Consider the following 25,618-nt stretch of genomic DNA (forward strand, 5'->3'; position numbering starts at 1 on the left):
AGATTTATTGAGGGCTTATATGCCAGTCAGTGTGCTAGTGCCTTCCACATTTGATCTCATTTAATCCTCATAACAACTGCTTGAGATAGATACTGATTTCATTACTATTTTATGGGTGAGGAAAATGAGAAGAATTACTTGCCCAAGATTGTACAACTGGAAAATGGTGGAATTATAATTTGAGTCTAGGCAGTCTTAACCATACAGTTCATGCACTAATTAGGCATACTGCCTCACCGCACTACACTGCTTTAGCATATTTGACTTTGTTGGGACAAAAAAAGTAGATACTTCCTCTTAACAGGCAATTCTAACTATATAAGATACAGAATATATTGATAGTTACTGGTATGTGCATCAGTGAAGCCCTTTGAAAACAATTTTTTCTACATTAATTTGTTTACTAGTTGCATATGAAATAAATACAAAGCCCAAACTTGATCTTTGATTTAAAATACTGCACAGTTTTTTGTCCTGGGAAGATAGGAGCCAAGAGAAGTCACATTGCTTATTCTAGCTTATTTTAGTGAAATTTAGGATGTAGGGATATTAGCAATAGCTTTTTAGTTTTTATCAAACTTATCAACTTGAATTTAATTGGGGGTTAAAGCAGATTTCCATATCTAATGTGTCTATATTCGGATGCATTTCAAAGTGAAATACAAATACATATTTTCAGTTGTCTTCTCATCTCTATTATTTGTGCATGTAATTAAGAGTTAATTGTATTTCTATTATAAATGATTTGGTTGCTTCCTCTTGCATTATACTTTTCCAGTAGTAAACTACAGACAAAGTAGTTCTCAGAGTATCAGATTCAGAATGTGCTCAAAAGCTCTTCACTTAGAGACTGAAGCACTGAAAAAAGTTAGCACGTGTGATCTTACTATTTAACAAGCAAATTGACCTCTATTATTTCTTATATGTTGATAAATACAACATGTCTTTGAAAATTATGTTTCACATTGTATTCTTTTGTGGGGGTGTTTACAGTTTTGTTTTTACTTTCTTTGGAGGTTATTCAGTTTGGCATGATAGCTCTCCTCAGTAACGCTTTATTTGTCTGTGTGCCACTTTTCACTTTCTTTTTCTCAATGGAACCTAGAAGCATTAAACACATCTCTTAATTGTTAATATAAAAAAGTGAACTTTTTCTGCGATGTGTGACTACTTGGCATTTTTACCTCATCTTCACAGATCTAAATGTTTGAAGGAAATGATAACTTTTTATGTTTACCCCAGTCAAAAAATTTTACTTCTAATCACTAAAATTTCTCCACTGAAAATAAAGACAAAAAGGTAACAAATAATTGTAACCAAACATATTTCTAATATAGTCTTTTTAAAAGAAAGTCAGCTTAGGCACAGGATAAGAATCATTTGAAAATTTCTTCCCCGAGTCTCTGTATTTGAGTATAACCAGCACTGTAACACACTGATCAGATGTGCTTGTTTTCAGCACAGTTTTATGTTTTCTCAAGCGATGTTAAATTGCCATATTTGATGAAAAAATAGCAAATTGAAATTTTTCAAAATATTTATTGATTAAATATTTCCTTTTATAAATACAAGCCCTTCATCATTTTAATATTATTTTCTTTTTTGCTTTAGAAAGATAGGTTTATTTTGACAACCAAAAGTAATAATAATAATACAAGAGGAGGCAACTCAATGTTTCAAATGATAAAATAGTTCAATTTTAACCAATAGGAACCTACACAAGATCATGGCATTTAGGTTTAGAGTATCTATCTCTTTGGACCAGATCATATGTTATTTGAATCTACTGTGGTTTGTTAGTATGTTTCATAAGACATAGTGCAGAGCTGCTATGATCTTTAAATGTTAATGTTCTTTTCTTATCACTTTACTGTGTAGATACCCTTCATGAGACCCAACTCTGCCACAGCTCATCCTCGGAGGCAATCCCGGAAACCTCTTTTATAAGTGTGATTTTAAAAATGTGGATTAAACTCTCGATAGAGTACATAAAGTAAAGGAGAACAGCTATATTGTCCTTTCTATAAGCTTGTCACTGCAAAAAGTTGCCTTTTGCTTGTCAGGTTTGGATAGAATATAATTGATTGGTTTGTTACTTGGACTAACAAGGCAGTAGATTTGCCTGTGTGGAATTTTTTTTCCTATTTTTCTTCTTTTTGCTTTTTTTGCACTTATCAGAAATATTTGATGTGTGCATTGTTGAAAAATACTGGATACATGTCTTGTCAGAATTGTCGTATTAAGTAATGTCTTTCCCTCTTGCTTCTTTGGCAAATGTTGATACACAGTGTTTGGACTTACTGAAGAGTTACTGAAGCCTGTGGGACTTAATAAATACAATATGCTACTCCCTGTTGTGATTGAACAATACAAATAACAAACAAGAAAGACAATGCATTCCATTAGTCTGCTATTCTGTTTCCTTCAACTTCATACATAGATTCATATATGAAGTACTGCATTGTAAAACAACTATAGACTCATATTAAATGTTATTTCTATTTATAATATTCAGCAAAAGTGAAAGACTTGTGAAGCATATGACATTCTATTTTTGACTTATTAGTCCTAGTGTGAAAGCATTAATATTATTAGCATGAAATTTTTACTTCAGATTTTAAGCTCATGAATAAAGATATATCTGTGTTGATCTCTAGATATTTTTAGTAATACCCAAATATATTCAGTCCTTATTGTTTTAATATAAGCTTTCTGTGTTCAGTATAATTTTATTTTTCTCAACCTTAAATATGAACTTAGGAAATAAGGAGGGAAGTACAAAGATTATTGACTATACAACCTACCAGCTGAAAGAAAGATCTTCATCAACATCTGTATCTTTCCAGAGGTATACAGAATTAAAATTTGATCTTCAAGCTTTAATGATCCAGTTTTAAGTCAACGGCAGAAGTATGTTGAATATTTCATCACTCAATCTTGAACTGATTTAGAAGAGACTCTTTGCTGAAATTGAATTGCACTTATACATGTAAATTGTCAACATGTAATTTGGAATTTTCTGATTAATAAATGTGGTTTTGGACATCTTTTCGGGTATAGTGACAATGGAAAATAGTTTAAACTTTAGGAATAGAGTAGGTAATGTTATAGATAATCAAAAGCAATTGTAATTGTAAAGCTGCTGTAATCTAGTGATCTCTAGTTACAGTGAGGAACGCTATGATTGGATGAGATGTTTGATAAAAGTAAAATGTGTATGAAATTACATATAAACAGATTATTAGCTTATTGAAAGATCTCATAACATTGGAGGAAAAATATTCATAATCTTTAGCAAAACTAGTAGACTTTTGTTTAAAAGAATAAGATAGGACTAGTTGTCACTATATTAGCTTAAGGAAATGTTGGTAATTATTACTGTTGCTGAACTCTGGCTGCTTTTAAGCAAAATGACAGATTGCCATTTTCTAAGTGGAATATACTAATCCATTAGACCATGGCCCTCTTTTAATATTTAGTGAGAAATTACTCGCAGTTGCTTTATTTTAGGTTTTTTGAGAAACTCTTAGGCCTTGTTTTGGTATCACTGTTAATCAAAATCCTTTTCACTTTGATTCCAATTATAATACTATATTATCATCATTTTCCATCTTGCATTTTCAGTGGTGGTGGATATTCTATTCCACATTTGGTGCTAGTCCTAAGAATCTTTGTCACATGTTATACATATAGACTGCAAAATTCATAAGATATAGGTCCTGCAAAAAGTATAGTTGAAGTAAGAAAACTTGAAGTAACTAGAATAGAATACTTTCTCCTAATAATCTCTTAAATGCTCTCATATCCACAGTATAAAATTATTCCGTGTCCATAATCGGTCCAACTACTATAAGGAGAAAATTGATGTGTGCTTAAGAAAATATGTACTAAATGATTCATATTTCACAGACCTACATAAGAAAAAAATGGCACATCAGGTAAATGATAGTTGTTTATCACACAGTAGGGAAAGGAAGAAACATGAAAATATCAGGAAGGAGATGAAATGTCTCTGAAATACAGGAAGAATGACATAATAGCAAGTAGTGGTTCTCAAACGTTGTGCATTGGAATCACAGGAAGGATTTGTAAAAACACAGGTGACTACCCTATTCCTCTCCTGGATCTGCCCTCTGCCCACTTTACTCCCTCCCCCTTCACCCTGGAGTTTCTGATTTAGTAGAAAATTTGCATTTCTAACAAGTTCCCAGCTGATGCTGATGCTACTGGCCTGGAACACCACATTAAGAACCATTCATAGGTAGTATTTTTTTTAAAACATCGTTGTGTTGTGCTTAACATTGATTGATAAAGGAATGTGCTTTTAACATCTCCTTAAAAGGTCCCTTAGATTTCCTCTAGATAAAAGAATTAGTAATTTCATCTGCAACACATACAATTTTTTTTAATTTTATAAAATTTAGTTAAATGTTTGTTTTACACTGACTATGGAAACAGCACTATTTTAGATACAGAAAGAAATCAATAAACATAGCCTGTGTTCACAATTCACTCATCCTTTTGTTATAAAAAGACTTGAAATTAGGGTTATGTTTTAACATGAAAACAAAATTTAGCCTTAGCTTTTATCCATCTTAACTTTAGAAATTATATTTATGCATTGTTTATAGATCATTGTCATTCGTTGTTGCTTAAGTGTTCATCTGATTTTATATTTATGATGTTAAAAATAGACTGCTGACCAATAAATAATAAAATATTTACACTCCATTCTATTTCCCTGTATTCACATCCTATTAATGAAAACCACTGGTTTTAAACAAAGTTACTTATTTCATAAAACTCACCACTATTTTACTTGATTCTCAATATGAGAATATTTCATGACTATTTCACCAAAATTTATTCAAGGAATTCAGAAGGACTCTCCAGCAGAGCAGAATATTTACATCATTAAATTTTTAAAAAAATTTAAAAATGGCAATTGAAACTTGTTTAAGAGACTCAACTTGGAGTTTCCTGACATACGAAGGCAGAATCATTTTTTCTACCTGTCTGAATCAGCACTTTGTAAGTTTACATAAAATTAAGGATTGTGATTTCTAAGATAGGCATGCTTTGCAAATATTTCTCTATAAAAGTGGAAGCCTCTTTCCCATAGTGCTCACTTTAAGGCTTTCTGTAGGCCTGCCGATAAGATTCACTGCTGTTCAGGTACATAAGATGTAATGTAATTGGATGCACATGCTGGGCTTTGTAAATAAAATGAGATTGACACCCAGCAATTATCTCATTTATCTGATTTACATTGTAAAATCAGGATCTACACTATTGATTAGAGCATAATTAGTTAATTATGAACAGGGAAATACAAAGTTACATGGAGCTTGAGCTCAGCAGGTTGTACTGCTGAAAAATTTCCAAGGGCATGAGCAGATGGAAATCAGTTTATTAAAGAACAAAGCAGACATGTTTCAGGTATGGAAATGTCTAATTCTTCTCTCATGCTGTGAAGAGTTGCTTGACCTTATTGTGTATTTTTATATGAATTGTTTTGTCTCATCTTTCATTTTCTTGTTTCACATTTAATCTTGTAATCTGGCTGCCACAGATATAGCTAACTGAATTGATCCCACTCTTTAAGTGACTATTAAATACAGATTTGGATTTGGATATTTTTCTAATTTTTTAAAATTAATTTTTATGTGTAAAGAATATTTTTGTCTTTCTTACTACCCATTCATTCATTATTGGCTGATACAGAAGTCTGTAGTGGTATTAATGAAATAGGTTCAAGCCCTCCACGTTAGTCTTATATTTGTGAAATGATTAAAAACCATTTTCTAATTATTTTGTATAGAAACTGCTCATGTAGGTAATTTGCACTAAAATTGTTGTAAATTACAAGGAATAAAATATTGTACTTATTGATACTAAATGTTATTCCGTATTGGTAGAATGCAGAATTTTGTGCAAGCTTGTATTATTTGTAAAGTGATTTAACTCATTGACCACAATTTGTATTTTCTCCATCTGTTAAGATGTTTAATCAAAATAATTGGCCACTATTCAATGAAAGAACTCATCGCTACCTGTTAATAGATTTGCGTAGATGTTTGAGCTGCTAGTGAGATTTTTATTTAAGTAATGACAGTATTCAAGACTAATTTTTTTGAACATTCTTGTGATGGAATTTTTACACAGAAATGAAAAAGTTGGAAAATCCAACCCATCAGTTCTCTGGATATTTAGTTTTTTTTAAGTGGACAGACATAATAGTCTATATTTTCAGAGTCCAGTTTTTGTTTTGCTTTATATAAACTTATAGGGGCTACAAGTAAAATGTTCCATTGGCATAAAAGATAATGTGATTATCACAATCAACTTGATCATAAAAATGTACATCCTTGTTCAAGTCTATGTTATGGATTTTGCTTCTTTCTAAAGTTTAGCTTACAAATGGCTATAAATTATTTGCATAGGAGGTGCACTTAATTGTTTCAGTTAGGTTTTAAAAAGTAGTTGTAGTTTACTCCTCTAATGAAATTAGAGATGTTAAACCCTTTGGAATACTGACTTTTGGCCTCTTAGGCATTCGATGAAATAAATCAGCTGCTTCTTTTTACTTGTTTGCATATTCTCAATAGTCAGGTAAACACCTGACTAATTGCTTGTTATATGGATCATAGCACATATGAAGGTAAATCATTTTTTTCCCTCTTCTTTGTTTAGGGTGCTATTCTTAATCATATACTAAGTAAGTATTTTACATACATATAGACTGTGTTTATTTGGTCACTACATTTTGTTAATGGGTAAAAGACCATATATTAAGCTACTTTGTTATTTACATCTATATCTGTTATTAATCTGATAGCTAGGAAGTTGTATTTAGTAAGAATCTAATTAGGTTTGCTTTTATCTTATAATTGGGATTCCTTTATGCTCTATAGTGTTAATGTGTACAGTGTTTATTAGAGGCTTAAATGATACTTCTTTAAGCATCCAGTTTTTATTTTATTAAAAAATCTTAGTGTTTCTTTACAGGTTAGTTTTGTATTCTTTTTTAATATTTTAAGACATTGCCTTCCTATTTAATAATGTGCTATTCGTATAATAATCTGTTTTTATTACATAGACATTTGTGTTATTTAATAAAGTATATTGTGTTATATCCCTATACTTTTGTGGGTCAATGACTGCTTCTGAAAAAGTTTTTTAAAACATTTTATTCACTATTTATTTTGATAAATTTTGTCCTATATTATGTGCTGCATGTGTTTCCAAGTTTATGTAAGAAATAAAGGTAGAAACCATAAATAGGTCAATAACTACTTTAACTCCATTGCAGCTTTTAGGTAGCAGATGATTATAGTCCCTTACGAGTTTTTTTAAATGGTCTAAATTTGCAACATAGCTCAGGGTTTGTTGGGTGACAGGATTTGATGAAGATTACAAAGTGGTATTTGTGTGTAAAATTAATAAGCCACTATTTTGGCCATCCACATTGTTCTTTGATTTCTTGGGTTCTTAATGGTATCTCTTATATTTGTCCACAGTTTATTAATTCTTGCAAGTTCTGCTAGAGTTCACTTGTGTCCAGTAAGATGTTTCTGTGATTAGCACATAGAGCTATGGATTTTTTCAATTCAATATTCTAAGATAGAAACAACAGATTTTTTTCACATTGAAATAATTTTGGGACATCTTTACAAAGATCTTATATTTGTATATTTGTTTATCACCAAAACTATTGACTTCAAGATTGGATTCTTTTCTTTTTTTCCCCTTCTGTTTTTTGGATTTTGGCAGTTCCTAAGGGTACTACTACTTTTTGCTACTTAGTCTTGAAGCTGAAGCTTTTATTTACTTTTGAGTGAGCTAGAACCTCAGAGAACTTGCCTATCACCCCTAATTCTGACAAGCAAATTCTTTTTCCTTTGGAATGCATCACAAATACATGAGAGTTCCACATGTCGACTAAGTAATTCTGAAAGGTATCACTAATGAAGGAATCAATCAGCAAGGATTAGGTCATTTTTAAATGGCATGTATTTGTTATCTTCTGATAAGCTAGCATATAAAATCTTTCTCTTCCTCTTTTCATTAGTTCTTGAGCTGAAAGATAATTTAATTGTACGAGTAGTTGAAATCAGCAACAGATTGGAACTGTGTTAGTGTAGCAAACTTGTTCTTGGTTTATTAGCTGGAATTTCATAGCTATATCAACAAGAATTATTTATGTACATTAAGGTGATAAATAATGAATTATGATACACATGCATCATGATAGTTGCCTCAAGTTATACACTAGAAATCATAATTTGAAAATTATTATGACACAGAGTTATAAAGTAAATATGCAGTAATTAGGTAGTAAATTGATGTGAACTAGGAAAATGTTAATACTTCATCAAGAACTTTGATTATTAGCAATCTGAACTCTGGCGCACTACCCAAAAACCTAAAGTTAAGGAGAAAAGACTATAGTTAACAAACAAAATTGAGCCCATTTACTTAACTCAGTAGCAATTATCATTTTCATGTATTTTTACTGTCAGTTTACATAGCCTCAGTAAGTTTTAGTGGTCTGGTTTCTGAATCCATAACAGATTGTTGTTGGGGAATTTATGCTTAAGCAAACACACCGAAAATATCAGGAAGCAGTGGCTGATAGTTTTCAGGCAAGTGAGGACCCTGAAAATCTACAAAAATTGAATACAAGAATTCAAATAGAACAGCTGACTCCTGGTCCTCATTCCAAGGACAAAAGGCTGACACACTGCTAGACCTGTAGCAGCATATGTTATTCTTACTGATGACCTGAGATGACAAATATAAATTATATTTAATATGTTTATTTGATGAAACGAGCAATGTGATTTTTAAATTTCGCATCAAAGATGATTAAAACTCCAGTTTTTATGTATGAAGGAGTATGCTCTCAGTTATTTAGAAATCTCAGCCTTCTCATAAACTCAGAAATACTTATACTTTGAAGGTTTCTATATCCATAGGTTTAATCGAAATTTTGGCTAATGAAAGGTAAATATGTTGTACTGAGAAAGAGCATAAAATTATGTGGGCTTGCCAGTCTCTTTATGTCACATTTGAACTTAGCTTATATTATTTATTATTCTTTCTTAATGCCAGAACAACAGGTATTTGAACATTTTAACTGCTTTTAAATATATTTTTAGATGTGTGATATTGTCATAGTAAATAAAGTACTGTTGGTCCTATTGGTCCTATTTGATTTTATCTATTCCTGTAGCTAGAACTGTCATAGTAAGCATTTTTTAAAGTCTTGAATCTACAAGGTTTTTGGAAAAGTACATAAGCTTATTTTATTCATAAGGAGAAAGTTGTAGAGGAAGAAATGCATAAACTTAGGACATTCATTTGTGTTTTAAACTTCTTTATATCTGAGTAACTTAATTAAGTTGCTTAACTTTTCTGGAACTCTTGATTCCCCAAATGAGTTTTTGGAAGATTGGACTTTTGTATCATAATATGAAATTTCTACTAAAAATGTAGATTTACAGTCCCTTTTATTATGATGGTTTCTTAAAGTCAATTGTTTTTCTTTGTGTGTTGTTTATGTAAGAAGAGCTTCTTCCCCCTTTTTTCCTAAAAGGTTATTGAATAGTAGTTTTTAACTTTAATCAAGTAATATATGTTCTATAAATTTTCCCCTTGGTTTCTTAATTGCAGATTTCTTGACATTTGAAGTTTTAAATCAGTGAAAGATAAACAATAAAGAAAATCTGACAGATTGGTTGAGAAAGTATTATTGTTTAATTTTTTTTAAACTATGAAATGAGGAATGTAATCCCTTCTATAAGATGTATACTCTTTGTTATTTGTTGTTAAATTTTGGTCTTGTTATTCCAACTGATGCAAAATTCTTTTTACAAAGCACTGAAATAATACAGATTTTTCTTCATTGTCAGCAGGATGAGATTGTCTGAAACGAAGAATAGGTATGATAGTTTTCTTAGATTTTGCACATCATAGGTGGCAAAGACACTATCAAAACATAAGTTTTTAAATGTACTAGGAAGTACTTTGTAAAACCAAACGGTCTGAAGAAAGTGACAGGTAATTTGTGAGAATAAAACTAAATTATTGGGGTAGTGTCTTACCTCTTTGTATATTTAAATGTTCTGTTTTTTAACATGTAAAGGTTATTTTTATTTGTTGTAGATTGTGTTAGCATGCTATAAATGTTAGAAAGTTCACTTACAATCTACTTTAACTTGAAGAAAGAGAGAAATCGGGTCCAAATTGTATAGCATTGATTGCAACCTAGTGTAGCCTAGTAGAATTTCTGAGTTTTAAAATTTTTTAAATAATCAAAATGTATTTTATTGAATTCATATCCTGGAATTATATATGTATCTTATTAAATACTTTAAAATGATTTAATGGGCAAATGATTAATTCTTTAAGTTCACAATTGAAATTGTTGTGGTTGTTTTGAACACATGATTATACATATACGTTCATTCATATGCTCTTAATATTTCTACTGTCAGTGTTCTAAATATTTGTTTTGTTTGTTGATTTTATTGCTGTTGTATTTTGTTTTTGCTAAAACATTTATTTCAGGTTTAGTTTGCCTTTATCATCATCATTAATTTAATGATCTTGTGAGCCAAGGATAAAATTAACAGTGTTGAAGTTGAAATATACAATAGTTTGTCTTTTTGTCTTTTCATGAAGTAGATGGTTTTTATATTATTTAGATACACCTACCTATAAATCTGTTTACCCTGCAGGTGTGATGAATGCAGACTCTGCTACCATTTTGGCTGTTTGGATCCTCCTTTGAAAAAGTCTCCTAAACAGACAGGCTACGGATGGATATGTCAGGAATGTGATTCTTCATCTTCCAAGGTAAGGGGAGAAGTCTATAAGAAAAGGTATTGGTGTCCTTCCGTTTGATAGCTTTCCCATGTCACACAATTAGCTTCTTTAAAGATAATTGGAATATGAAGAACCAACATTTTAACCAGTACACCTTAAGAATATATTGCTATGGTTATTTTCTTGCTCTTAAATTAAGGAAAAAACAACTCTACTAAATTATGTGAATTTTCTCTCTGGAATATTTAGTTGTTTTACGTATTCTCTATTATTGTAACATATTAAATAGTGCTCCGAAAGCCCAAACAGATCACTCTCTGCTAACTTAACACACTTGAGAATGGCAGGAAAATTCCACCCTGAGTCATAATAAATTATGTTAGCTAACAGAATAACCAATTAAATAGAATTTTATAGATGTTTTATTTTAAAATATAATATATTGTAATATCTTATAGAATCTGTTCCTTTAAAAAAAAAACAAAATAGTTTTCATATCCTAAATCTTATTTCTGATATTTATTTTAGCTGAGTAGAATGAAATTTCTATAATCTAATGTTTAATAGATTATACCCCCAAATCAGTTTGAAAATTACATCTTTTTAATATTAACATTCTAAACTTACATTGTAGTAATACATAGTTTATTTTGTGGTTTGTTAAAGTGAGTAAGTAAATAGCCAGACTCCTAATGTTTTGACTGATTTGGCAGAAATACTGAATACATTTGAATGAAGACATTCTGGTCAACTGTAGATTAATCCGATTTTTCTTTCTCAAAAAAGATGACGAAAATTAACTGTCTGTTGTATTATGGACATCCAGCCATCTTTCTTCAATGCTACTTAAATGATTTTTTTGGTCCTAGAGTGAATTAAAATTGATCATGTAATCAAAAACATTCTTTTATCATTAACTAAAATGATTTGCTTCAGCTTACCACAGAGGCCTTCTGCAAAAGTTTATTTATTAAAAACTGCAAAAAGACATTTGGTTATAGAAAGAAACTAAACTTTTTTTAAATATCAGAATTTATTTAAAATTATACACATTTTTTGCCGGGTGGCTCACACCTGTAATCCCAGCACTTTGGGAGGTCGAGGGAGGTGGATCATGAGGTCAGGAGTTCGAGACCAGCCTGGCCAACATGGCGAAACCCCATCTCTACTAAAGATACAAAAAATTAGCCAGACATGGTGGCGAGTGCCTCTAATCCCAGCTACTTGGGAGGCTGAGGCAGGAGAATCACTTGAACCCGGGAGGCAGAGGTTGCAGTGAACCGAGATCACGCCATTGCATGCCAACCTGGGCGACAGGGCGAGACTCCATCTCAAAAAAAAAAAAATTATAAATATTTGTATGAGGATTATTAAGATATAATATTTGCATATATTTTATTTAATAATCAAGCATTTTAACCTAAAATTGTAAACTATATAGTAGCAAGAATTATTTTCCAGGCATTTTATTAAGGCCTAGATTTAAGAGAGAACATATTTAATTTTAAAGATTTTATTGCACAGTTCAAAAATGTATTCCCAAAATTTTATTTAAATGTAAAAATAATGAAACACTATGGAGTTTAAATAGTTGTCTTACGAGTCTCTTTAATAAGTTTTTTTAAGTGCATTTTTTGTTTGGGATTTTCTCCTACCCCCAGCAAACAAGTTAGGAAAACAATTTTTGAAATAGGATTTCCCACCTTTTTTAAATATACCTTTTTGCATATATTCTTTTGAGAAGGCTCAATAATACTATAAATATGTAGTATTATGTTAAATGTTAAGTTATACAGTAATGTTGTTAATGAACATTGAAAAGGCAAGGGGGCATATTTTAGATTTGTTTGAAACATTGCATACATTTTGTACATGCCATAGGTGCCAGTAGCCATTGGATAAGGTTTTAGTTTTGTTTTCTTCTCTACCACAGAATGGGTCTTTGGACTCTGAGTGGAAATGCGTTAGGAAGGCACATTGTTAGAAAACTTGCTTTATATTTGCTGTACTCTGTTTGACCTGTGGTTGAATACCAATATAAACAACTAACATTTTCAAAATTTTATAAAATATGGTTTCTAATATTGGAATGTCACAGCAGTTTACTGTAAGGAATGAAACAACAGTGAAATGTATTTGTATTTTCGTTATACTTATATGACTTAATATACTACCATTTTCCAATGAAAAATGAAATTTAATATAATATTTAAGCTGAAACTTCCGGAGACTTAATTGATTCCCTTGAATATTTGTGCTGCATCAGTGGTTTTTCTTACTTTGGAAGACTTCCATTCATGACCAGTGGGTAGTAAATTTCTGTTGGCATTTTCTTCTGAAAGATGTTTGCTAGTATTACAGCCTAAGAAGAAAGCATTGATAGATAATGTCATGCTTTATAATTCAGTGAATGCTGCAGAAGCTTTTACATTCGGAAGCTGTATATTATTAACATCCAAGTCAAGAAAATTAGTGACATCTTAGGGCTTAAAAGAAACCCAGAATGAAAGTTCATATGCTTTGCTTTATCCTTTATTCTCCTACATTTGCTTAGGTGGAATATTATTTGCTAGGTAGCACTGGGTATATTTGCCATGTTCATATATTTTAATGAAATGAAAAGCTAAAGGAGAAATACTTATTGCCATAAGAAAGGAAGTAATCAATTGCAAATAAATTTAGATGGTAAAATGTCTCCAACTTCTTTCTCTGCGGTAGTCATGTTGTTAAGTCCAACAAGTCTTCACTTTTATTTGAAATTTTGACTCCCTATTTGTTTTGCCTAGAAGTTTAGATAATACATAGCATGTATAGTTGAATATTTGCTGGAAAAATGAATTGCACTTTAACATTTTGTCTAAATTCTGTGGACCAGGGGAAACTCTAAAATATTGCTATTTATACTGTCAGCAGCTATTTATATATTACTTTGTCTTTCAAGTAACAAGTTTTTGATATGGGGTTGTATGAGGGCAAAAATTTCTATCTTTACCCCTGTCTATTACTTTTATAGAAATTCCGTAAGTCTAATAAGATTCATCATATCTGAATTCATAATTTTTTGTTTTAGCACATGAAAGCGGAAATACACCTAAATATTTAGTTTTAATAATATTGATTTAATAACAATTCACCTAAAAGTAGAAGAATGACCATTTATTATACCCATACCCATGAAGTATAGCATGATAAGACTTTCTCTGTCTCATCAACTCTTCATAAACCTAAGTAGTCATTTTGAGTTTCATAAAAAATAGTCAGTTACATGGACACAAACATATCCACACGTATTTACATACATGGAGGCACAAATATACACACATACAAATACACAGAGACACATACACTCATACACAAAACATACCTTCTCGCATAGGCTATGCTTCAAAGCCATTGATTAAGACAGCAGCCACCCAGACAGTGCACTATGCTTATATTCAGTGGAGCTAGTTCATTGCTACCTGTCACCCTGCATTAGGGCTTTTTTTTCTTGCCCTTTACTGTGTTGTGAAAATCCTATTGTTAATAAATGCCACATGCCTGGAAAAGAAATGTGTTTTCTTCTTTCTTAACCTCAACTTTTCTCTTATTTTTCCCTTATTTCTTCTTCCATCCGTTCACCCAAGTCACATATCTGGAATCATCCTCAAGCCTTCCCCATCCTTATCTCACATAGCAAATCACTTCCTGAGTCCTATAAAAGTTTTCTTCTTTAAATATTTCTCCAGTCTGCTCTTTGCTCCTTTTTTCCACTACTACTGTCTTGATTTAGTGCCTCACTTCTTCTCATTCTGTTATGGTTCTTCCTGTTTGAGAAGCTATCTGAATAGATGGGCCAGACTTATCCCCTTTTTAACCATTCTGCTTACTAGAGCCCTCTAAATGAAGTGTTTGCCCCACAGTAGATATACAAAATGACTCATTAAATTAATTCTATATAACATCTTTTTAAATTTTCATGTTTGAGTCTATTTTCATGATTTAAATAAGCTAGTACTATAGAACAGGTACATAAAACGTCACACATACATATTTATGTTGAGGTGCATACTTAAGATGTTTTTTCTATTGATTTGCATCATCAAAAATAGCTTTCTGAAAATGTAGTTATCATACCTCTGCTTGAAATCTGTCAGTGTTTTTTCATTCTTCTTCATATCCAAAATAAAATCAGCCAGATCAGGAAGTTAACATTGCTATATTATTACTGTCTGATCCTCAGATTTCATTTAGGTTTGGCTATTAATCCCAGTAAGGTCATTTATGGCAAAAGGATTCGGTATAGAATCACAGGTTACATTTAGTTTTCATATTTCTTTTGTCTTGAATCTGGACAGTTCCTTAGTCTTTCCTTAACTTTCATTAGCTTGTGACTTTTGAAAATTACAGAGCAGTTATTTTGTAGAATGTATTTCACTGTGCATTTTTCAAATATTTTCTTGTGGTTTAGATTCATTATGCATCTTTGATAAGAATACCACAGATGTGATGCTGTGTGCATTCTACACAAAATTTTGATTTGAATTATAGATAATGATGTTATATCTTAGGAGTTGTCTGCTAGTTTTCTAATTAATTAGTGATTTCTGGGGAAGAACCTTGAGACTATGTAAAAATATCCTATTCCTCATCAAACCTTCATTTTCTGTTTTATTCAGTGGGGTTATATTGAATGTTATTATTTATTGTTATTTTCAAATTACTACAAATTCAGCTAATGAAAGCCACTTCAAGCTGCCTTCTATATCCTTTTGACATGATTCCGCCAATCTTCAGGTACTTTCTTGCCGAAGGTCTTCCAGGCTCAGCTTATCTACTGTCTCTATCTCCATTCCTGGAATCAGCTGTTTCTCCAAGGAGCCCAGGTTCCTTTTAGTGGAAAACGATATTTAGAAACCAAGATCTGGTGTGGTCATTGTTACTGGGATATTGCTTTTCCCGGTTCTTCTCAGTAGAAAAAGCCAAGGACTGGATGTAGGTATACGTATTCATACACAGCCACACTTACATCTATATTTTTGCTTTCATAGACATTGAAAACTAATTTTCTTCCTTTTCATCTTTGTAAATAACTCCTTTGTAAATAACTCTCTGACAGAAAACTGGCTCCCATTTTCCTTAATGTATACTCTTGTATCATTACTCTCCTGATATGAAACCAATCTCTTATCACCCTCTACTCCTGCCCACATGGATACCTACTTTGCTTGTCATTTGATAACTTTTAAACTGAATTGTTCAGGAAGAGGAGAGAAGGGATGAGGACTGACATTTGTATTTTTTACAAGTTCCACAGGTGATTTTATGAGATTTTATGAGCAGTTAGGAATAAGAACTACTGTTATACCTAGTTGTTAAAAACTTCAGTTTTTACAAAGTTTTGAAGCTAAAAATTAACTTTTTGGAATTTTAAATTTTAAAACAATGTGTATAACCCAAGTCAAATGTCAACAAATTGACATTTTAATATTATATTGTATATTGCCATATAAGATATAAAGTAGACTTAGTATTGTAATTTAAAAAGTAGGACATAGCTCATGCTTCAGTCTTTTCCAGGATATTCTTGATAAAGATCTCAACAACTTGTATCTGCTGAAACACTTAAAATGATGATAACTTGTCTTAATATGGTTACATGAACATGTATAAATATTTCTTTTAAAAGTGCTTCCTCCAGGTCATATGTATTCACAGACGCCACTGAGGATTTAAATATCCATCATGTACTTTATCGTGACTATGTCAGTTACTATTGTAGCTTTTCATCTTTGTTTAAAGCTATGTTTTGTGAGAAGCCATGGAGTATACATGACAGGTCATTATCTGACTACTACAAGGTGAGCTGTCTTAGCTTGGAGACTTCTATTTGGTTCAGTCTTATTTGATCTTTCTAGTATGCTACATTTTTTGAGTAGTAATAATTTTTGAATTCATATGCATAGGAATTTCATCCAAGTCCTTATAGGAGATTTTCTAGAACTACAAATGCGTGACAGACTAGCTAAGGCGAGTGATATTTCTCAATAATCATTTGTATTAAAAATCTTTAAGTAGAGGACATACGATATTTTTAATTTTGGTTTTATTTTTTATCTTTTCTGCATTGAAATAAATTCTATAACTATGCCCAAACGATATATATAAATATGTATTTATATGTATAAATACAAATATGTATTTGTATGTATAAATATGTATAAATATATATTTTCAAGTAAAACAGTCATTGAGAATTTTGTGTCTTTAAGAACGGAACAATCTCTTCAGGAGTATCTTGCCACAATACATTAAACAAGCACATTTAATTGAACTTGGTAATATTGGAAATTGAATGTCTGAATTTTATGCATTGAGAAGATTTATGAAAAATATAAAATTAAAATGAATTATCCTTTAAAGTTCTTTAAAATTTGAAGCATATAACTGACGCATAAAAAAGAGACTTTTAAATATTTTAACTATTCATTTGACCTCTGGGATTTTATCTGACATTAGATTGAATTTTAAGTTTCTGGATTTTATATGGCCGACAGAGACATCATTTTTAGGTAAGATGTATACCACTCAGCTGTCTAAATTCAGTACTCTTCTAGCGTTTGTGGGACAAGCTTACAAAAGCTTACAAAAATGTGCTTCATGGAGCTTTACTGAGTTTTGGTTTGCCTTTTTACTAATACAGATATGTAAAAAGTCTGGAAAAAAAGTTGTTTCTATTGTGTCCTATATTAGAATTAAATAGAACAAATCTGCGGTGTTTTGTAGACTTACTAAAAGTCTGAGAATTAAAACTGTGGTATGTGGTTATCCTCAAAGATGGTTTTAGTTTTGTATTAAACTTTAGATTTCCTCTTTCCTGGTGGGTGGGATAAAGCCCACAGATTTCCAGTTGATCCTCTACTGTAGAACAAGGTCCTCAACTAAGTTCAGGCAGTTGCTAATTGCTTCTAGCATGTTCCTTGGCAAGTGAAATTGTTTGTATAAATGTCTTTTAATCCCTTAGTTTCTAATTGAGTGCTGTACTTTGGGACTATTAATAATTATTTGCTTAACAATCCCACTAATTATAGTTGGTACTTTGCTTTAAAAAAAAAATTAGAGTGTTTTATTGTTCATACTGAACATTTATGTCCTGAATTGAACTTATTAGTCATCATTATTGCCTGGTCAAGTAGGTGGTTTTATTAATACTTTATTGTCCTAGACGTGTTTTCTGAAACCTATTTCTAGACAATGTTTTTATCAAGTAATCATTTTCAGTAAAACATAGATTGTTTATTAGTCATTCTTAATAGTATTAATAGAATTGGAATCAGTATTGATCTGTTTGGTTCTTTAACCTAAGGTAGTTTTCATGGGAATCAGATAATATATATTAAACGTATATACTTCAGTAAATTATTCCTTAAGCATCATTTTGAAAATATGATTTATTAAGATAAGTTTGTCAGTGTTTATGATACACATATTTTGATATATTTAAATATCAAATTCACAGAGAAAGGAAAATGGTTAGAACATCTAAAAATAGACCATCTTTCACTATATTGATAATTTACAAAATTGAAAAACTAAGCCACTTTCTAAATTACGCTTACTACAAACTTGAAAAACTAAGCCATTTTCTAAGTGGCATGTGGCCTGGTGCATTTACATAGCATGCTGTGGAATACCATATGTGATGAGAAACTAAATCATAACTGAGATAATTAATCAAAGTACAGTAGGTTGCCATACATATAAATGTCTTTTAAAAGTCGCAAACCTCATACTGTCCTGTAGTTTAAAATTTTTTTGTGTGTTTTTATTTTTTGTTATTTTGTTATTTCAGCTACTAAAATGCTGAGAGTTAAGATAAAGGACATTTTATTACGGCTTTACAAAAGTTAATAAAAGTATTTTTACCTTATTAACCCAGCATTTGAAATATTAAAATAAGGTTATATAATCAACCAATATATCATAGATCGTACTGTTATAAAATTCAGAAGTGGTGTGGAATATATTAATTATGTAAATTTTTATTCCAGTTTTTATTTGTCGTGTGAGTGTGAGAGACATGTTCATTGTGAAAAGATACTCCTAGTGGAATTAAACTATTCTCACAATTGTGAAAATATCGCCTAAATAATAGAAAAGGCTTAAATCCTGGCTTCAAAAAAACAAAGTGAGATTGCATGCATTGTAGATGTAGATATAGTGAGAGTAATTTGGTTCCTCTAATTTATTAAACATTTTAATTAGTTCATAATTTTATAAAATATTTGTTAAAAAATATTGTTTCCAACCTACATATTGTGGTTTAAGAAGTGCTCTTTTGCTTATGACTAAGAGACTTCTTCAAGAAAACTTTCAAATCTAAGCCAAGAAAATTCGAAAAATGAACTCTGGTAGTTAATGGAATTGAGTTCTTTGAAATCAAATATAGTTGAGCATTCCAATTTTGATTTTCTGATGGAATCTTTCCTAGGTGTGATAAGTTGTAAATTAGAGGTTAGAAACATAAAGTGCATTATGCCATGTTAATTGCCTTTTAATATATTCATTTTTGACATTTCTGAAATTAGATTGTGTATCTATAAGCAGTTTTTATCTTTAAGTGATAATAGTTATTTTTTCCCAAAAAATTGCCATTAAATTGGCGGAGTTCTTATAATTGGATGCGTCGTATAGTAGGAAGATAGAGTAATTTAAATTATATAGAAAGTTAAGTATGCAATTTGGTGTAGATGAAAGTGTTTTTCTGAGCTTTGAAAAGAAACAAACTGGGCTCAGGTCTTAACTATTTATAGTTACTTGTGAACTTCAGCAAGTTGTTTCACCTAACTTTTAGGTTGCTCATTTGTAGAAGGTTGAATGGCAATACTGGGAAGTATAGAGGTGCTCAGTAAGTGACAAGCATTTTAGGCACAGAGAGAAAAGTTCAAAATTAGTGATAATACTCTGATTTTCAAATGTTAAGAAATGTTTTTTAAAAGTAACCTGAAGAGTAATTTTCTGTTTCATTTTCTGCCTTCACACACATCAAATGAAAATCTTTCCTGTCTCAGAGTTTCACACTAAACAGGGGAAGGTCAAGTCTAACTTTTTCATGCAGAAAAATGTCCATTTGTTATAATTTCTTGGTAGCAATGAAAGCTATCTTTATAATTAATGTATTTTTAAACCATGGCATTCATGGCTCCCTAAATTTTTTTAAAGTATATGCTATCCTATCAGATTTTCTAAATGTACTGTAGTTAGTACTTTTAATATTGATGGTAATTCATATTTCACTTTAAATATAGGATTATGGTCCTATGTGAATCATGCACTAATATATTTATTTTATAAGTAGAGAGAATGATATTTAGAAACTAAAGGTTTGTTTTGTTTAAGCCATATTTAAGCCACTGACTCTGCCTGGTATGAATAATAGGAAAAGATCTAACTCATACGGAAACTTGTTTTTTACTGACGACATATTTTAGTAACAAGTGAAGAAATATCCAAGAAATTTTTCTTAGACTATAAAGGCATATTTTTTTCTTTGTCAAGGTCATTAAAACTGTAAACTTGAAACTGAAATGAAAATACAAAGTAAATCCAGTAAAATGTAAACGTAACAAACCACTGAAGACAGTTGTAAGACAATTTATAAGTCCACTTTGTCAAGGTGTATGCAGTTTCTGATAACAAAAGTTTCATCATCCCTAAAGAATGACTTTTTAACAGGTAAATATCAGCAACACACCCTTTTTATTATATACATGTGGGATCTTTTAAGGATGGATATGTTGGAAAATCTGGGCTAGCACTTTCACATTCCTTGTTGAGTCTGGAAGTTAAGGTTTTTAACTTTTAGAGCATATTGTATAAACACATTTAGAATTTCAAAGCATGATTATGTGCCATCAATATGCCTTACAGCATTTATGCAAAAGAAAACCTTACACTTAAGTAAGGAAATGTTTACTAATTCTCCGATGCTACTAATTCTTTTCTTTTAGAAAGGTAGACTCTCAGTACAGTAGCCTCCCCCCACTGCCTACTTAATTGCAGGGGTTATGTTCCAAGACCCCTAGAAGATGCCTTAAACCAGTTATTTTTTCCTAGACATGTCTTTTCAGTGAAAGGAAATATCTTATGGCTTCCCTTTGGCATATCAAAATTGTTAACATCACTACTCTTGCACTTCGGGGTTGTTACTAAGTAAAATAAGGGTTACTTGGACACAAGCCCTGCAGTACTGTGATGGTCGATCTAGTCACTGAGACAGCTAAGTGACTAACGAGCAGGTAGCACATACAGTATGGACATATTCTGGGCAAAGGAATGATTCATGTCCCAAGTGGGAACAAGTGGGACAACATGAGATTTCATCATGCTCTTCAGAATGGTATGCAATTTAAAACTTCCAAACTGTTTATTTCTGGAATTTTTTTTTTTCTATAAGTTCTGGGGTACGTGTCCAGAACGTACAGGTTTGTTCCGTAGGTATACATGTGCCATGGTGGTTTGCTGCACCTGTCAACCCGTCAGACGTTTTAAGCCCTGCATGCATTAGGTATTTGTCCTAATGCACTTCCTCCCCTTGCCCTACCCCCCGACAGGCCTCTGGTGTGTGTTGCTTCTCTCCCTGTGTCCATGTGTTCTCATTATTCCACTCTCACTTATGAGTGAGAACATGGGGTGTTTGGTTTTCTGTTTCTGTGTTAGTTTGCTGAGAATGATGGCTTCCAGCTTCATCCATGTCCCTGCAAAGGACATGAACTCATTCTTTTTTATGGCTGCATAGTGTTCCATGGTATTCTGGAACTTTTTATTTACTATTTCCAGATCACAGTTTACCATGGGTAACTGAAACCTGGGAAAGCAAAACCACAGTTAAGGGGAGATTACTGTTTGTACTTTTTATATATATATATATATATATACACACACACACACACACACACACACACACACATACATACACACACATATATATATACACGTATATATATATACACGTATATATATATACGTATATATATATATTGTGTGTGTGTGTGTGTCAAAGGGTAGTGATTCATACATATAAATTCTTCAGAACCCTATCTTTATGCCCTACAATTATTTCCCTTTCTACCCCCTGCTGTCCTGATTCCCAGTAGAGGGAACCATTAATGATATACTTCCTTAATCATAGCATATGTTTCTTTATTTGTTTCCCTTCATGTTACTTTAAAAATTGAATTATCTTTTTCTGGGAATATCAGATATGCTGTTGTTAACACGTTTCTCCTTGGCAAAATGCCATTAACAAATAAGGCAAATTATAAGAGTATGGTCCACATTGTCCTTCCACTGCCCTATAGTTCCAGCTTAGTCCAGTCCTGCTGTATATTAAATTAGTAGTAGCTTCAGTAGTGTTTTCTTGGTCACCAATAAAACATGCTCCCTTTGTCTTTTCCAAGTTCTGAAATTGCCCAGCTGCATGTCCAGGAACTTCTCTGAGCTGTAAATTCAGTTTGTCAAAATCAAGAATCTTCCTCTATTATTCTGTGTCATGTTTCATCCACCTTGTTGGTAATTTCCTCCTTTTAAAAATACTTCTTTCTCGCCTTCAGTGAACTTCTTCTCTCCTGCGTTTGCCTTTTCTTAGCGGACCATTTCTTTGGTTTTTTTGATAGGCTTCTCTAGGTTGGTTTCACAGTCTTTTTTTCTCGCTGCAGTTGATAGCATCTATACCCAAAGCTCAATACCACACCCATTTTGCAACAGGAAATCTTGGGATTTAGGATTTAAGTGATCCATCTGCTTTCTCTGAGTTAATGTCCCTCAAGAGAGACTTTTTTGCCTTTTAAAATATCCTTTTGTCTAGTGATTAAGACAATATAGCAATAAATTTACATATATGGTTTAATTGGCCGTTTCCTCTTATAGTCTCCTTTTACTAAGTAGTTTAACTGACATTTACTTAAGTAGGCGAATGTATATTAATTTGATCTTCAAATTAAATATTCTGAAGATATGATTAAATATGCTATAATTAAAATGTTGGACTCTTGAATTTTGATAAACTTTAAAGCTAGAAAGTTGGCTGGGCGCAGTGGCTCACACCTGTATTCCCAGTGCTTTGGGAGGCCGAGACAGGCAGATCACAAGGTCAGGAGTTCGAGACCAGCCTAGTCAATATGGTGAAACCATATCTCTACTAAAAATACAAAAATTAGCTGGGTGCAGTGGTGTGAACCTTTAGTCCCACCTACTCGGGAGGCTGAGACAGGAGAATCACTTGAACCCAGGAGGCAGAGGCTGCAGTGAACCGAGATCACACCACTACACTCCAGCCTGGGTGAATCGCTTGAACCCAGGAAGCGGAGGCTGGAATGAGCAGAGATCGTGCCACTACACTCCAGCCTGGGTGAATCGCTTGAACCCAGGAGGCGGAAGTTGCAGTGAGCCGAGATCGTGCCACTACACTCCACCCTGGGTGACAGAGCGAGACTCCATCTCAAAAAAAAAAAAACTAGAAAGTAATAATTCAAAATAGGAATTTTGTTTAATATAGTAAAATTGATATCCTTTATTTAAAATATTGCTTTTAAAAAATACATGCCTCTCACTGTTTTTCTCCTTACTTTTTCCTTTTCTTTTTTCTAACTCCACTTTTCTGAAGAAAGTTGGTATCAGGAAAAAAAAATACACTTTGGGGTTTTAAAAATATTGTAAAAGTAGTAAATGGTCATTGTTGAATATTGGAAAAAAATTTTAAACATAAAGAAGTATTTTAAATTATCTGCAATTTAGCACCTAAAGATACTACATTTCTGCTCATGTTTTGGTGGTATGTCCTACTACAACCTACTTTAAAAAAAATTACAGTTAGATCATACTTTCTGTTATATAATGGTATTTTGAAAAATATAATTGCATGTATGGCAGTTTACCATGTTGTTAAATACTCTTACATAATCTATTTTTAAGTGCTGTACAATTTCTTATACAAATATACTTTTAATGTAATGACTAGATCAAACAATATAAACATTTTTAAAATAAGAAAGTATCATACTAATAATAATAATAGAAGTTAACATTTTGTTGAGCACCACTATGTGCCTGGCATTTTCTAAGCATTTAAAATGTATAATTCTATGTAATCCTCACCACAACCTTTAAGGTGGTTATTGTTTTTTTTTATCTCCTTTCTGCAGATGAAAGAAAGAAATGAGATTCAGAGAAGTTAAGGATTACACAGCTAATAAGTGATATAACAGTAATTCAAACCCAGATCTCCCTGACTCTAGAGCCTGTGTTTTAGAAACTAGATTTTATATATTAAAATAGGTATTTTCTATTTCTTATTGTAAGAGATTCTCAAATTAGATTTTGTCCTAAAGCCATTTTAGATTTTCATCATGTAAAACTCAGATAATTTTTCTATTATAAATAAACATGACTTCTAATCGGAAAGGGAAAAATATTATTAAGTGGGATCTGCTTTTGTCTTTCTAATGGATAGGGGAATAAAACACAAAGATATTTTAAAACAAATAAGTTGATTAAAGATGGTGCTATGGTATGGTGTGGGAAGATGAATGTGGAAGATGAGGTAACTCAACTCCTCAGGGCCCTTTCTTCATGAAATTCAATTAAATAAGATCTGTGTTAGGGGAGGTACCATTTGACAATATGGATGATTTATGTAGACACAGCAGAAACTAATCTATTGAACTTGGAGGGAGGTAAAGGAAAGGGATCTAAAGGTGATTTTTTTTTATTAGACACTAAGCACTGTATTTTACCTCAGTCAAATCTTAGTTTTTAATGTTTGTCATGAGTTGTGAAGTTTGAAAACCAGTACTGTGAAAAGTAACTACAGCCAGCCACACTCAATCCCTTTGCAAAGATAGTTTAAGAATATTCTCATTTGTGTAGTGTCAGCTATTATACTTTGTGTACACTGGCAGTTTTTGTATGTTTTTATCCTAGTATCAGCATTCTTTTGCAGTACAAGTTTCTCTTCTTCAAAAGAATACTTGCTTCTAAGTGTATTGAGTATAAATACAATTCAGTTTACACTCGTTTGTGTTAATTCTTTTGCTGACAATTCTTTTGTTAATTCTTTTGATTATTAAACAAGGAGTACAAAATTATTACCTCACCTATAAAAGGTTTAGAAATGGTTCCTGCCTCATTGACAGATAAAGGTCTGTATGTAACTGTTTTTATTCTACTATATTTCCACCTGTGACCTAGCTCTGCCACCTCTTTTTGTGATTTCAGACTTTTACAAGTTGTTTTATGTTTAATATATTGTTCTCTTTTTTTCCTCTGGACTATATTCATATGATAAATCTAATCTCTGGTCACCTAAGATACAACCTATTTTAATATTTTCTCTGAAGGTTTCTTAAAGGTTTATATTATAGTGTTATACCTTCATTGAAATTAAGTCGGTTTTTTGTTAAGGGTACCTTCAATAATGGCTGCAAAAGATTATGTGCTTCACTGGTTTGAAAACTCTTTAAAGTATGCTTATAGAGGTTAACATTTTAAGAATCGCTTTGAAAAGTTCAAGCTGTATCAAAGCACTTGTCAGCAATGTGTTCACTTTCGTGTTCTTGAGGGCTGGACCATTCTCTCAATTTTTAAAGACCAATAGTATTCTTTATATTCTGTTTCTAAAATCAGAGTTCAAAATTTAGATGATTAGTTATTTGTAAATCATTTTTCCAAAGCACAGATGTATTGGTAGCTTAATGCAGGTAATAAGTATAAGGTATTTCAGCATTATTTCTTTATTTTAATGCAGCAGTTT

General features: G+C 31.7%; 1 protein-coding gene across 4 annotated transcripts in view, besides 1 other annotated feature; it reads left to right on the forward strand.

Annotated features, from left to right (window-relative positions):
• PHF14 (PHD finger protein 14) overlaps positions 1-25,618 on the forward strand; it is a 195,747-nt gene that overhangs the window by 126,736 nt on the left and 43,393 nt on the right. For 2 of the 4 annotated variants that reach the window (NR_033436.2, NM_001007157.2), the window contains one exon: positions 10,743-10,860. Coding sequence is in view for 2 of the 4 variants with exons in the window: in NM_001007157.2 (NP_001007158.1) it covers positions 10,743-10,860 (118 nt within the window). In the remaining 2 variants the exon portion in view is untranslated. Of the gene's footprint in view, positions 1-1,878; positions 9,715-10,742; positions 10,861-25,618 lie in introns of those variants that run through there. The other 2 variants (NR_033435.2, NM_014660.4) reach the window with 1 other exon arrangement.
• Positions 22,452-22,652: a silencer, noted in NCBI's record as "peak6386 fragment used in MPRA reporter construct". NCBI's record gives its function as "represses an SCP1 promoter by STARR-seq MPRAs in K562 erythroleukemia cells {active_cell/tissue: K562}" and the evidence as "EXISTENCE:reporter gene assay evidence [ECO:0000049][PMID:32103011]".

The sequence above is a fragment of the Homo sapiens genome, chromosome 7, assembly GCF_000001405.40.
Source record: "Homo sapiens chromosome 7, GRCh38.p14 Primary Assembly".
Classification (NCBI taxonomy): Eukaryota; Metazoa; Chordata; class Mammalia; order Primates; family Hominidae; genus Homo; species Homo sapiens.